The following is a 12,910-nucleotide window of genomic DNA, read 5'->3' on the forward strand; positions in this document are numbered from 1 at the left end:
GGATTACAGGTGTGAGCCACTGAGCTCATTACAGATTAAACGGGGGTCCCCAACCCCTGGGCCATAGACTGGTACCAGTCCGTGGCCTGTTAGGAACCAGGCCACACAGCAGGAGGTAAGTAGTGGGTGAGTGAGCATTACCACCTGAGCTCTGTCTCCTGTCAGATCAGTGGCAGCATTAGATTGTCATAGGAGCGTGAACCATATTGTGAACTACACATGTCCAAGAGTTACACACTCCTTATGAGAATCTAATGCCTGATGATATGAGGTGCAACAGTTTAATCCCAAAACCATTCCCTGGCTGAGAAAAAACTGTCTTCCACAAAACCGGTCCCTGGTGCCAGAAAGGTTGAGGACCACTGGGTTAAATGAACAAAGGGAACCCAATGAAAATTAATCTATTTGATACTCTGATTTACTTTACATACTTAATTATTCTTCCATTTGTCAGCAGTAATCGTAGATCATTATCTTTCGCTCTCCATTCAGGTACTGTGGAGGATGGTTGGAGATGTTTGTTGAATTTTCCATTCAGTTTAGAGCTCAAGATGTCCTGAAGGTATAAATGCAGAACTTACTTACCATCCACCCTCAGGTAGCCCTGTTCGACTGATGGAATACAGTATACCACCACCTCCCCCATGGTCCTGCATCTCAAAGATACAGGCAGCCACCTGGGCTTGGGGATATGCAGCAGTATGGCACTCCAGAGTTCCTAAAGCCAAAGTAAGAGTATGGCTCATCTTTCTGGAGGGCCATTAACCATGAAATGCATTCTAGAAAGTAAAACATAAAATATGCATAAAGTGAATTCAAAGAAATTTCATTCTTGCAGAAAGCTGAAAAACTGGAGAAGCACTGCCTCAGAGTATTTTAGCTCTCTTCCCCTTGCTTCTTCCTGCTAAAGTGCTAGCTACTGGGCCTTTCCATTCACCCATCCTTCATCTAATACCTAGTCAGCAACTTATAGCTCACCACACTGCTACCACTAGGAACAAGGGTCACCATGCGACATAAAGGCAGTAGCTGGGTTTTAATGAATCAAAAAGACTTCCTTTTCATAGTGATTTTCCCCTTAATAATAAATAGAACCTTTCATAATAAGCTTAATCTTCTCTGATGATTACAGTTTAGAACAGCATAATCTTAAAACATTATAATTACATACAATTTAAAATATTTTAAAAAGTTATATATATATATATATATACATATATACATATATATATATATATATACACATATATATATATATATATATATATATATATACATATATATTTTTTTGTTTGTTTGTTTGTTTGTTTGGAGACGGAGTCTCGCTCTGTCGCCCAGGCTGGAGTGCAATGGCATGATCTCGGCTCACTGCAAGCTCCGCCTCCCGGGTTCACACCAGTCTCCTGCCTCAGCCTCCTGAGTAGCTGGAACTACAGGCACCCGCCACTGCGCCTGGCTAATTTTTTGTATTTTTAGTAGAGACGGGGTTTCACCGTGGTCTCGATCTCCTGACCTCGTGATCCACCCGCCTCGGCCTCCCAATTTTTTTTTTTTTTAAGCCAGGATCTAGTTATGTTGGCCTTAAACTCCTGGGCTTAAATGATCCTCCTGACTTAGTCTCCTAAGTAGCTGGGACTACAGGCCCACACCACAGCACCTGGTTCTTCGATCTTATTCATTTAAAATGGCTGCTTATCCTCTTCTTGGGATGTAAAAGTATGGATGATGCAGAGCTCACTACAAAGTCACTACCATGTTCTGCAAAGGCGCTACACTGATCTCATTACTACCTCCCACTCTCCCCTTTGTCCAGTAGGCCAGCACTTCACGAAGTTTAAGAGTTTCTTCTGACAGTCTCCCAGTCTAACAGTCCTCCAGGCTGACTGCTGGCTCAAGTAGAGGCTTTCTGCATTTGCTCTTCCCTCTGCCTGTAATGCCATTCCTCCAATCACCACGTAACCATTTGACTTCTTCCTATTTGTTACTCAGCTGTCGGTTCAAACCTGAGAGGCTCTCTGACCACCTTAGCTAAAGCAGCCAGCTTTACCCCATCCCCCTTTATTCTGTTGTTCTATTGTTTTGGGTTTTTTTTAAATAACGCTTATCATCTGAAATTGTATTATTTTAGTATATGTCTCTGTCTCCCCATCCTTCCAGCTTGAACTAGGATGGAAGCTTCATGAGGGGCAGGGACTTAAGTTTTGCTCACAATCTTCTCCAGAGCCTAGAAGAGGAAATGGTACTTGCTAAAGACTCAATAAACATATCAGCAATCGAATGAGGTCTATTCATTCAAATTCTACACTAAAACTTAGAAAGATTAAGCACCACTCCCTGTCACAGGCATAACTACTGGTTGATCCCTACAATGCTGCAGCCAAGATTAGATATCAACAATAGTCAAGACTATTCTCTTATTATCCCTATAAAGACTTTAAGGAACAGCCAAGTTTCTTTTTGTTGTCATGAAACATAATACTTGCCTCTTCCCATGGACACATCTCTAATCTTTTGAGGACCTCCCTTGTGTGGAGCTCTAGGATGTCTAGGTTAGAAGGAGTTCGGACATTATGATCTCGAAGTTTCCTCATCTTTCTTCGGGAATGGTATGGGGAAGTTGCTTCATTTGAGGATCGTGAAACTGGACACACAATAGGAATTCCCTGAGATTTAACTGGTTTGCCGTTTTCCTCCTTTAAGAATTAAAATCAGAGTATTTTTATAAGAAGGCTGTTACACACATACGTGACTAAATAATCATCCATAAAAATATTTCAGAAAACAAAAACCATTCAGTTTAACCATATAAACACAAAAAAGACTAAATCCTAAGCTTCAAACAGCTTTGCTGAGAACTTTATATCCCTTCTCTCTCCAACATAATATACTGTGAACATACTTCCTTGATTTTTTTTTTTTTTTTGACACAGGGTCTCGCTCTTGTCACCCAGGCTGCAGTGTGTGGAGTGCAGTGGTGCAATCTTGCCTCACCGCAATCTCCACCTCCTGAGCTCAAGCGATCCTCCTACCTTAGCCTCCCAAGTAGCTGGGACTACAGGCGCACGCCACTGCACCCAGCTAATGTTTTAGAGACAAGTATTTGCCATGTTGCCCAGGCTGGTCTTGAACTCCTGAGCTCAGGGGATCCACCTGCTTCGGCCTCCCAAAGTGCTGGGATTACCGGTGTTAAATTAGCCACTGCACTGGGCCTTGATTTTCAATATCTTATTAAAGGCTGTGTTGCATTCCACTGTTAATTTTCTGACCTAATACTTACTGGTAGCCATTTAGGCTGCTGTTCTTTCCGACAATGAACATTCTTTTCACGTACATATTTGAATAAATTAAGAATTACTTTTTAAACTAAAATTATACATCTATGTAGTTTTAAAAATTAAATATTCTATAAGCATATCATGAAAAATAGCAGCCTCCTCTTCCCCATCCCTCTCATTCTCCAGAGGCAACCACTTGCAACATTTTTTTACTGTGGTAACATAAACATAAAATCTGCCATTTTAACAATTTTTAAGTGTACAGTTTAGTGGCATTAAGTAGAGTCACAGTGTTGCACAACCATCACTGCCATCCATCTCGAGAAGCTTCTCATCTGCACAAACTGAAACCTGAAACTGTACCCACTACACAATAATTTCCCATTCTCCCTTCCCGCCAACCCCTAGCAACTACCATTCTACTTGCATTCTCTATGAATTTGACACTTCTAGGAACCTCATATAAGTGGAATTTTATAAAATTTGTCCTTTGGTGACTGGCTTATTTCACTTAGCAAAATATCTTCAAGGTTCATCCACGCTATACCATGTGTCAGCATTTCCTTTTTTTTTTTATTTTAATTATTATACTTTAAGTTCTAGGGTACATGTGCACAACGTGCAGATTTGTTACATATGTATACATGTGCCATGTTGGTGTGCTGCACCCATTAACTTGTCATTTACATTAGGATTTCTCCTAATGTTATCCCTCCCCCCCCCTCCAACCCACGACAGGTCCCAGTGTGTGATGTTCCCCACCCTGTGTCCATGTGTTCTCATTGTTCAATTCCCATCTATGAGTGAGAACATGCGGTGTTTGGTTTTTTGTCCTTGTGATAGTTTGCTGAGAATGATGGCTTCCAGTTTCATCCATGTCCCTACAAAGGACATGAACTCATCCTTTTTTTGGCTGCATAGTATTCTACAGTGTATATGTGCCACAATTTCTTAATCCAGTCTATCATTGATGGACATTTGGGTTGGTTCCAAGTCTTTGCTATTGTGAATAGTGCCACAATAAACATACGTGTGCATGTGTCTTTATAGCAGCATGACTTATAATCCTTTGGGTATATACCCAGTAATGGGATGGCTGGGTCAAATGGTATTTCTAGTTCTAGATCCCTGAGGAATCGCCACATTGACTTCCACAATGGTTGAACTAGTTTACAGTCACAACAACAGTGTAAAAGTGTTCCTATTTCTCCACATCCTCTCCAGCACCTGTTGTTTCCTGACTTTTTAATGACTGCCATTCTAACTGGTGTGAGATGGTATCTCATTGTGGTTTTGATTTGCGTTTCTCTGATGGCCAGTGATGATGAGCATTTTTTCATGTGTCTGTTGGTTGCATAAATGTCTTCTTTTGAGAAGTGTCTGTTCCTATCCTTCGCCCACTTGTTGATGGGGTTGTTTGATTTTTTCTCGTAAATCTGTTTGAGTTCTTTGTAGATGCTGGATATTAGCCCATTGTCAGATGGGTAGATTGCAAAAATTTTCTCCCATTGTGTAGGTTGCCTGTTCACTTTGATGGTAGTTTCTTTTGCTGTGCAGAAGCTCTTTAATTAGATCCCATTTGTCAATTTTGGCTTTTCTTACCATTGCTTTTGGTGTTTTAGTCATGAAGTCATAGCCCATGCCTATGTCCTGAATGGTACTGCCTAGGTTTTCTTCTAGGGTTTTTATGGTTTTAGGTCTACTATTTAAGTCTTTAATCCATCTTGAACTAATTTTTGCATAAGGTGTAAGGAAGGGATCCAGTTTCAGCTTTCTACATATGGCTAGCCATTCCCAGCACCATTTATTAAATAGGGAATCGTTTCCCCATTGCAGATTTGTCAAAGATCAGATGGTTGTAGATGTGTGGTATTATTTCTGAGGGCTCTGTTCTGTTCCATTGGTCTGTATCTCTGTTTTGGTGCCAGTACCATGCTGTTTTGGTTACTGTAGCCTTGTAGTATAGTTTGAAGTCAGGTAGCATGATGCCTCCAGCTTTGTTCTTTTTGCTTAGGATTGTCTTGGCAATGTAGGCTCTTTTTTGGTTCCATATGAACTTTAAAGTAGTTTTTTCCAATTCTGTGAAGAAAGTCATTGGTAGCTTGATGGGGATGGCATTGAATCTATTAATTACTTTGGGCAGTATGGCCATTTTCATATTGATTCTTCCTATCCATGAGCATGGAATGTTCTTCCATTTGTTTGTGTCTTCTTTTATTTTGTTGAGCAGTGGTTTGTAGTTCTCCTTGAAGAGGTCCTTCACATCGCTTGTAAATCGGATTCCTAGGTATTTTACTCTCTTTGAAGCAATTGTGAATGGGAGTTCACTCATGATTTGGCTCTGTTTGTCTGTTATTGGTGTATAGGAATGCTTGTGATTTTTGCACATTGATTTTGTATCCTGAGACTTTGCTGAAGTTGCTTGTCAGCTTAAGGAGATTTTGGGCTGAGATGAGGGGGTTTTCTAAATATACAATCATGTCATCTGCAAACAGGGACAATTTGACTTCCTCTCTTCCTAACGGAATACCCTTTATTTCTTTCTCCTGCCTGATTGCCCTGGCCAGAACTTCCAACACTATGTTGAATAGGAGTGGTGAGAGAGGGCATTCCTGTCTTGTGCCAGTTTTCAAAGGGAATGCTTCCAGTTTTGCCCATTCATTATGATATTGGCTGTGAGTTTGTCATAAATAGCTCTTATTATTTTGAGATGCACTCCATCAATACCTACTTTATTAAGAGTTTTTAGCATGAAGGGCTGCTGAATTTCATCAAAGGCCTTTTCTGCATCTATTGAGATAATCATGTGGTTTTTGTCTTCGGTTCTGTTTATATGATGGATTACGTTTATTGATTTGCGTATGTTGAACCAGTCTTGCATCCCAGGGATGAAGCTGACTTGATCGTGGTGGATAAGCTTTTTGATGTGCTGCTGGATTTGGTTTGCCAGTATTTTACTGAGGATTTCTTGCATCGATGTTCATCATGGATATTGGTCTAAAATTCTCTTTTTTTGTTGCGCCTCTGCCAGGCTTTGCTATCAGGATGATGCTGGTCTTGTAAAATGAGTTAGGGAGGATTCCCTCTTTTTCTATTGATTGGAATAGTTTCAAAAGGAATGGTACCAGCTCTTCTTTGTACCTCTGGTAGAATTTGGCTGTGAATCCGTCTGGTCCTGGACTTTTTTTGGGTGGTAGGCTCTTAATTATTGCCTCAATTTCAGAGCCTGTTACTGGTATATTCAGGGATTCAACTTCTTCCTGGTTTAGTCTTGGAAGGGTGTATGTGTTGAGGAATTTATCTATTTCTTCTAGATTTTCTAGTTTATTTGCACAGAGGTGTTTATAGTATTCTCTGATGGTAGTTTGTATTTCTGTGGGATCGGTGGTGATATCCCCTTTATCATTTTTTATTGCATCTATTTGATTCTTCTCTCTTTTCTTATTAGTCTTGCTAGCAGTCTATCAATTTTGTTAATCTTTTCGAAAAACCAGCTCCTAGATTCATTGATTTTTTTGAAGGGTTTTTTGTGTCTCTATCTCCTTCAGTTCTGCTCTGATCTTAGTTATTTCTTGCCTTCTGCTAGCTTTTGAATGTGTTTGCTCTTGCTTCTCTAGTTCTTTTAATTGTGATGTTAGGGTGTCAATTTTACATCTTTCCTGCTTTCTCTTGTGGGCATTTAGTGCTATAAATTTCCCTCTACACACTGCTTTAAATGTGTCCCAGAGATTCTGGTATGCTGTGTCTTTGTTCTCATTGGTTTCAAAGAACATCCTTATTTCTGCCTTCATTTCATTATGTACCCAGTAGTCATTCAGGAGCAGGTTGTTCAGCCTCCATGTAGTTGTGCAGTTTTGAGTGAGTTTCTTAATCCTGAGTTCTAGTTTGATTGCACTGTGGTCTGAGAGACAGTTTGTTATAGTTTCTGTTCTTTTACATTCGCTGAGGAGTGCTTTACTTCCAACTATGTGGTCAACTTTGGAATAAGTGCGACGTAGTGCTGAGAAGAATGTACATTCTCTTGATTTGGGGTGGAGAGTTCTGTAGATGTCTATCAGGTCCACTTGGTGCAAGCTGAGTTCAATTCCTGGATATTCTTGTTAACTTTCTGTCTCGTTGATCTGTCTAATGTTGACAGTGGGGTGTTGAAGTCTCCCATTATTATTGTGTGGGAGTCTAAGTCTTTTTGTAGGTCTCTAAGGACTTGCTTTATGAATCTGGGTGCATATATATTTAGGATAGTTAGCTCTTCTTGTTGAATTGATCCCTTTAGCATTATGTAATGGCCTTCTTTGTCTCTTTTGATCTTTGTTGGTTTAAAGTCTGTTTTATCAGAGACTAGGATTGCAACCCCTGCTCTTTTTTTGTTTTCCACTTGCTTGGTAGATCTTCCTCCATCCCTTTATTTTGAGCCTATGTGTGTCTCTGCACGTCAGATGGGTCTCTGAATACAGCACACTGATGGGTCTTGACTCTTTATCCTATTTGCCGGTATGTGTCTTTTAATTGGAGCATTTAGCCCATCTACATTTAAGGTTAATATTGTTATGTGTGAATTTGATCCACTCATTATGATGTTAGCTGCTTATTTTGCTTGTTAGTTGGTGCAGTTTCTTCCTAGCCTTGATGGTCTTTACAATTTGGCATGTTTTTGCAGTGGCTGGTCTCAGTTGTTCCTTTCCATGTTTAGTGCTTCCTTCAGGAGCTCTTGTAAGGCAGGCCTGGTGGTGACAAAATCTCTCAGCATTTGCTTCTCTGTAAAGGATTTTATTTCTCCTTCACTTATGAAGCTTAGTTTGGCTGGATATGAAATTCTGGGTTGAAAATTGTTTTCTTCAAGAATGTTGAATATTGGCCCCCACTCTCTTCTGGCTTGTAGAGTTTCTGCCGAGAGATCCGCTGTCAGTCTGATGGGCTTCCCTTTGTGGGTAACCCGACCTTTCTCTCTGGCTGCCCTTAACATTTTTTCCTTCATTTCAACTTTGGTGAATCTGACAATTACGTGTCTTGGAGTTGCTCTTCTCAAGAAGTATCTTTGTGGCGTTCTCTGTATTTCCTGAATTTGAATGTTGGCCCGCCTTGCTAGGTTGGGGAAGTTCTCCTGGATAATATCCTGAAGAGTGTTTTCCAACTTGGTTCCATTCTCCCCGTCACTTTCAGGTACACCTATCAGACGTACATTTGGTCTTTTCATATAGTCCCATATTTCTTGGAGGCTTTGTTTGTTTCTTTTTACTCTTTTTTCTCTAAACTTCTCTTCTTGCTTCATTTCATTCATTTGATCTTCAATCACTGATACCCTTTCTTCCACTTGATCAAATCGGCTACCGAAGCTTGTGCATGCGTCACATAGTTCTTTTGCCATGGTTTTCAGCTCCATCAGGTCATTTAAGGTTTTCTCTGTGCTGCTTATTCTAGTTAGCCATTTGTCATATCTTTTTTTTCAAGGTTTTTAGCTTCTTTGCGATGGGTTTGAACATCCTCCTTTAGCTCAGAGAAGTTTGTTATTACTGATCTTCTGAGGCCTACTTCTGTCAACTTGTCAAAGTCATTCTCCGTCCAGCTTCGTTCCGTTGCTGACGAGAAGCTGCGTTCCTCTGGAGGGGAAGAGGCACTCTGATTTTTGGAATTTTCAGCTTTTCTGCTCTGTTTTTTTCCCCATCTTTGTGGTTTTATCTACCTTTGGTCTTTGATGATGGTGACCTAGAGATGGGGTTTTGGTGTGGATGTCCTTTCTGTTTGTTTTCCTTCTAACAGTCAAGACCCCTCAGCTGCAGGTCTGTTGGAATTTGCTGGAGGTCCACTCCAGACCGTTTGCCTGGGTATCACCAGCGGAGGCTGCAAATATTGCAGAACAGCAAAGGTTGCTGCCTGATCCTTCCTCTGGAAGCTTCGTCTCAGAGGGGCACCCAGCTGTATGAGGTGTCAGTCGGCCCTTACTGGGAGGTGTCTCCCATTTAGGCTACCCAGGGGTCAGGGACCCACTTGAGGAGGCAGTCTGTCCGTTCTCAGATCTCAAGCTGTGTGCTGGGAGAACCACTACTCTCTTCAAAGCTGTCAGACAGGGACGTTTAAGTCTGCAGAAGTTTCTGCTGCCTTTTGTTCAGCTATGCCCTGCCCCCAGAGGTGGAGTCTACAGAGGCAGGCAGGCCTCCTTGAGCTGTGGTGGGCTCCACCCAGTTTGAGCTTCCTGGCTGCTTCATTTACCTACTCAAGCCTCAGCAATGGTGGATGCCCCTCCCCTAACCTCGCTGCCACCTTGCAGTTTGATCTCAGACTGCTGTGCTAGCAGTGACCAAGGCTCCGTGGGTGTGGGACCCTCGGAGCCAGCGCAGGATATAACGTCCTGATGTGCTGTTTGCTAAGACCATTGGAAAAGTGCAGTATTAAGGTGGGAGTGTCCTGATTTTCCAGGTACCGTCTGTCACGGCTTCCCTTAGCTAGGAAAGGGAACTCCCCGACCCCTTGCACTTCCTGGGACAGGCGATGCACCGCCCTGCTTTGGCTCACGCTCCGTGGGCTGCACCCACTGTCCAACAAGCCCCAGTGAGATGAACCCAGTACCTCAGTTGGAAATGCAGAAATGACCCATCTTCTGTGTCGCTCACGCTGGGAGCTGTAGACTGGAGCTGTTCTTATTTGGCCATCTTGGAATCCTCCCAGTCAGCATTTCCTTCTTTTATAAGGCTGAGTAGTATTCCACTGTGAGTATGTCCCACACTTTATCTATTCACCTGCTGATGGACACCTGGGTTGCTTGGTCTATCTTTTGGCTATTGTGGATAATGCTGCTATAAACGTAGGTGTACAAATACCTGTTTGAGTCCCTGCTATCAATTCTTTTAGGTATATAGCCAGGACTTCCAACTCTTCTAAATGGTTTTCCCTGTAGTTATTTGCCTCCAAATTACAAAATGATATGTTTATACTGTTTTCAGCTTCAGATATTACTGAATTCCTATCATGCAAGATGAAGTCTTAATCCTTACACACCTCTCTTAAACATGCACATACCTCCCTTTCCTTCAATATTCAGTAAATTGGACTTGGTAAAAATTATTGATAACCCAGCGCCACATAACATATTGTCATTACATTCCCTTATTCAATCACTAACTGATTCCCAAATTATCCACTAGAAGAATACAAACATTCAAACACATTTGGTAATCTAATAATTTTATATTTTTCTCTGGAGACATCCTTCCTGGATAGGATTGCCAGATAAAATAACAGACACCCACTTAAACTTGAATTTCAGGTCATAACAAATATGGATCCTTTCATTCTTCTGATCCATCCTGAACTGGCTGCTCTCTAGACCAGTTTAATTACTCTTCCAAGTGTATTTTACCACTTTAAATTTGTAATACTAATTTAGAGCTGACTGACACTCCCATTTAACTACTGTTTTACTTCCTAAAAGTAAAGATTTATAGTTTTTCTTCATATAGAATCATACCTTTCACAGTAAGTTTATTCTTCATGTTGGTTATCATGCATGAGATTTATATATGTATAAACTTACATATATATTTAAGATTAGATATATGACTTTTGATACTAAATCAATTTAAATGTGATTACTGTAACACTTTAAAAACAGAACGTATTTTTCTCCTCTATCTGAACACATTGAGAATTACACATTCTATCCATTGATATTAAAGCAAGCATTTTAGTATTTTGTAAATGTATACCTCTTTCCATTCTCCAAACACAGCCCTAATGTAAGCTGTTAAATCATCAGCTGGCCTCCATTCCTCCACCTAATTTCCTCTCAATTTAAGCTAGACACTAACAGAACAACCTTCTTGAAGAATTACTTTAAAACACCCTTTCTTAAACACCGAGAATAGCTCTCAATTAATAAATTAAAACATCTCATCAGATTTTATGAGCTTTTATTAAAGGGCATTTACCTAAGCATCTCCTTGCCCCACTCTACTGCTTATCATCCCTCTCTCCATCTCAGCTTCCCTAGCTTGACTCATTCACCTTACATTTCTTCTCTTGTTCTAATTACATAAACATGTATTCCTCTCTGGGTAGCTGAAATTAACTGTATCTGAAAGTTCTACTGTTTATACTCTGTATTTTTGATTTTTTTTAAGTATCCTAAACTAGTAACTGTTTCCTTATTACTTCATTAGAATTCATTAGAATACAATATTTAAATTTCTCTTAAGGACTTCAGAGGCCTGAAAACCTGAGAAACCTCCAAAGACTCAGCTCATTATATTTCTTCTAAGTGTGTAAGAGTTTTTAAATATTTGTAGAGAGTGGAATAGATCCATTTGCTTCTCAAAGCAGATAATAATCAAGCATTTACATGACAGTTTCCACTCTTACCTCTATTGCTCGAATTACTTTAGAAAGTTCTTTAATAAGGTGTCCAGGTCTAACATTGTCTGGAATTTCAAAGGCATGTTCAGATACAAGCTGTATTTGGATTAACAAAAATAAGAAAACCAAAGTTATTTACACTTTAATATGTAAAAACAAATTTACTAAACCAATTTTTGGATTCTCTAAACTGTTACAGACATCGCCAAATACTAGTAAGCCAGGTTTCAGAGTTCGTGTAGCTAGTATAATGCCTTCTAAGGAGATTCTCATTAACATACAAAATCCTCTTAGACTGTGTTAAAAACAGACTAGTCTCACAGTGAATTTTGCTTTACATTGAGTAGTAACCTTGTACTCTACTCCTCAAAGCCTACTGTAATTCTAACTACTACTACTAATTCGTAAAGTGACAAATTAAGCTTAACATTTAATTCATAATGCATAAGGATTTTTAAGGAGAACACAGACACTAACGTAATCCTAATTTCTCTTGGGAAATCTAATTTGAATAAATTTTTGTACTTTTTTTTCTTTTAATAGTCAAAAGCAAAATAGAAAAAAGATCCCATCAATAGGAAAGGGGAAGGCCGGGCGCAGTGACTCACGCCTGTAATCCCAACACTTTGGGAGGCCAAGGCTGGCAGATCACCTGAGGTCAGAAGTTTGAGCCCAGCCTGGCCAACATGGCAAAACCCCGTCTCTACTAAAAATACAAAACTAAGCCAGGCGTGGAATCCCAGCTACTCAGGAGGGTGAGGTAGGAGAATCACTTGAACCCAGGAAGTGGAGGTTGCAGTGAGCCGAGATTGTGCCACTACACTCTAGTCTGCACAACAGAGTGAGACTCTGTCTCAAAAAAAAAAAAAAAGCTCTAAAGGGAATTCTGATAAAGTCACAAATTTGAGAATCACACATCTAAAGCCTTCAGTAGGAAACAAATTATACAGTTTTGGCAACATATGCTTTGTTTTGTTTTTATCTTGTTAAACAGTTTTAAATTTGCTTATGGCTTTCCTTGTCACCTAGACAATAAGGTCTTTCACAGTGGAGGACATGATTTTTATTTTCCTGAATGCTTCCACACTGTTGTGCTCTAGCAGATATGTAGCAATGATAATACAGTAAAAAGGGAGTATAAAATCATTGAGGCAGTAACCTATTAATTACTGTCTCCCAGTATTTCTTAAGAGCAAGATTTTTATTTCAAGGGGACATTCAAGAAATTAATATGGACACAGCCAGGCACAGTGGCTCATGACTGTAATTCCAGGACTTTGGAAGGCCAA

At 40.1% G+C, this 12,910-nt stretch overlaps 1 protein-coding gene across 3 annotated transcripts in view; it reads right to left on the minus strand.

Annotated features, from left to right (window-relative positions):
- Nucleotides 1-12,910, minus strand: part of KDM7A (lysine demethylase 7A) — a 92,238-nt gene that overhangs the window by 14,722 nt on the left and 64,606 nt on the right. For all 3 annotated transcript variants that reach the window (NM_030647.2, XM_011516587.3, XM_047420879.1), the window contains 3 exons: nucleotides 11,628-11,717; nucleotides 2,484-2,693; nucleotides 432-556 (listed from right to left, as the gene is read on the minus strand). In NM_030647.2, the coding sequence (NP_085150.1) occupies nucleotides 432-556; nucleotides 2,484-2,693; nucleotides 11,628-11,717 (425 nt within the window). The remainder of the gene's footprint in view (nucleotides 1-431; nucleotides 557-2,483; nucleotides 2,694-11,627; nucleotides 11,718-12,910) is intronic.

Source organism: Homo sapiens, chromosome 7 (assembly GCF_000001405.40).
Source record: "Homo sapiens chromosome 7, GRCh38.p14 Primary Assembly".
NCBI lineage: Eukaryota > Metazoa > Chordata > Mammalia > Primates > Hominidae > Homo > Homo sapiens.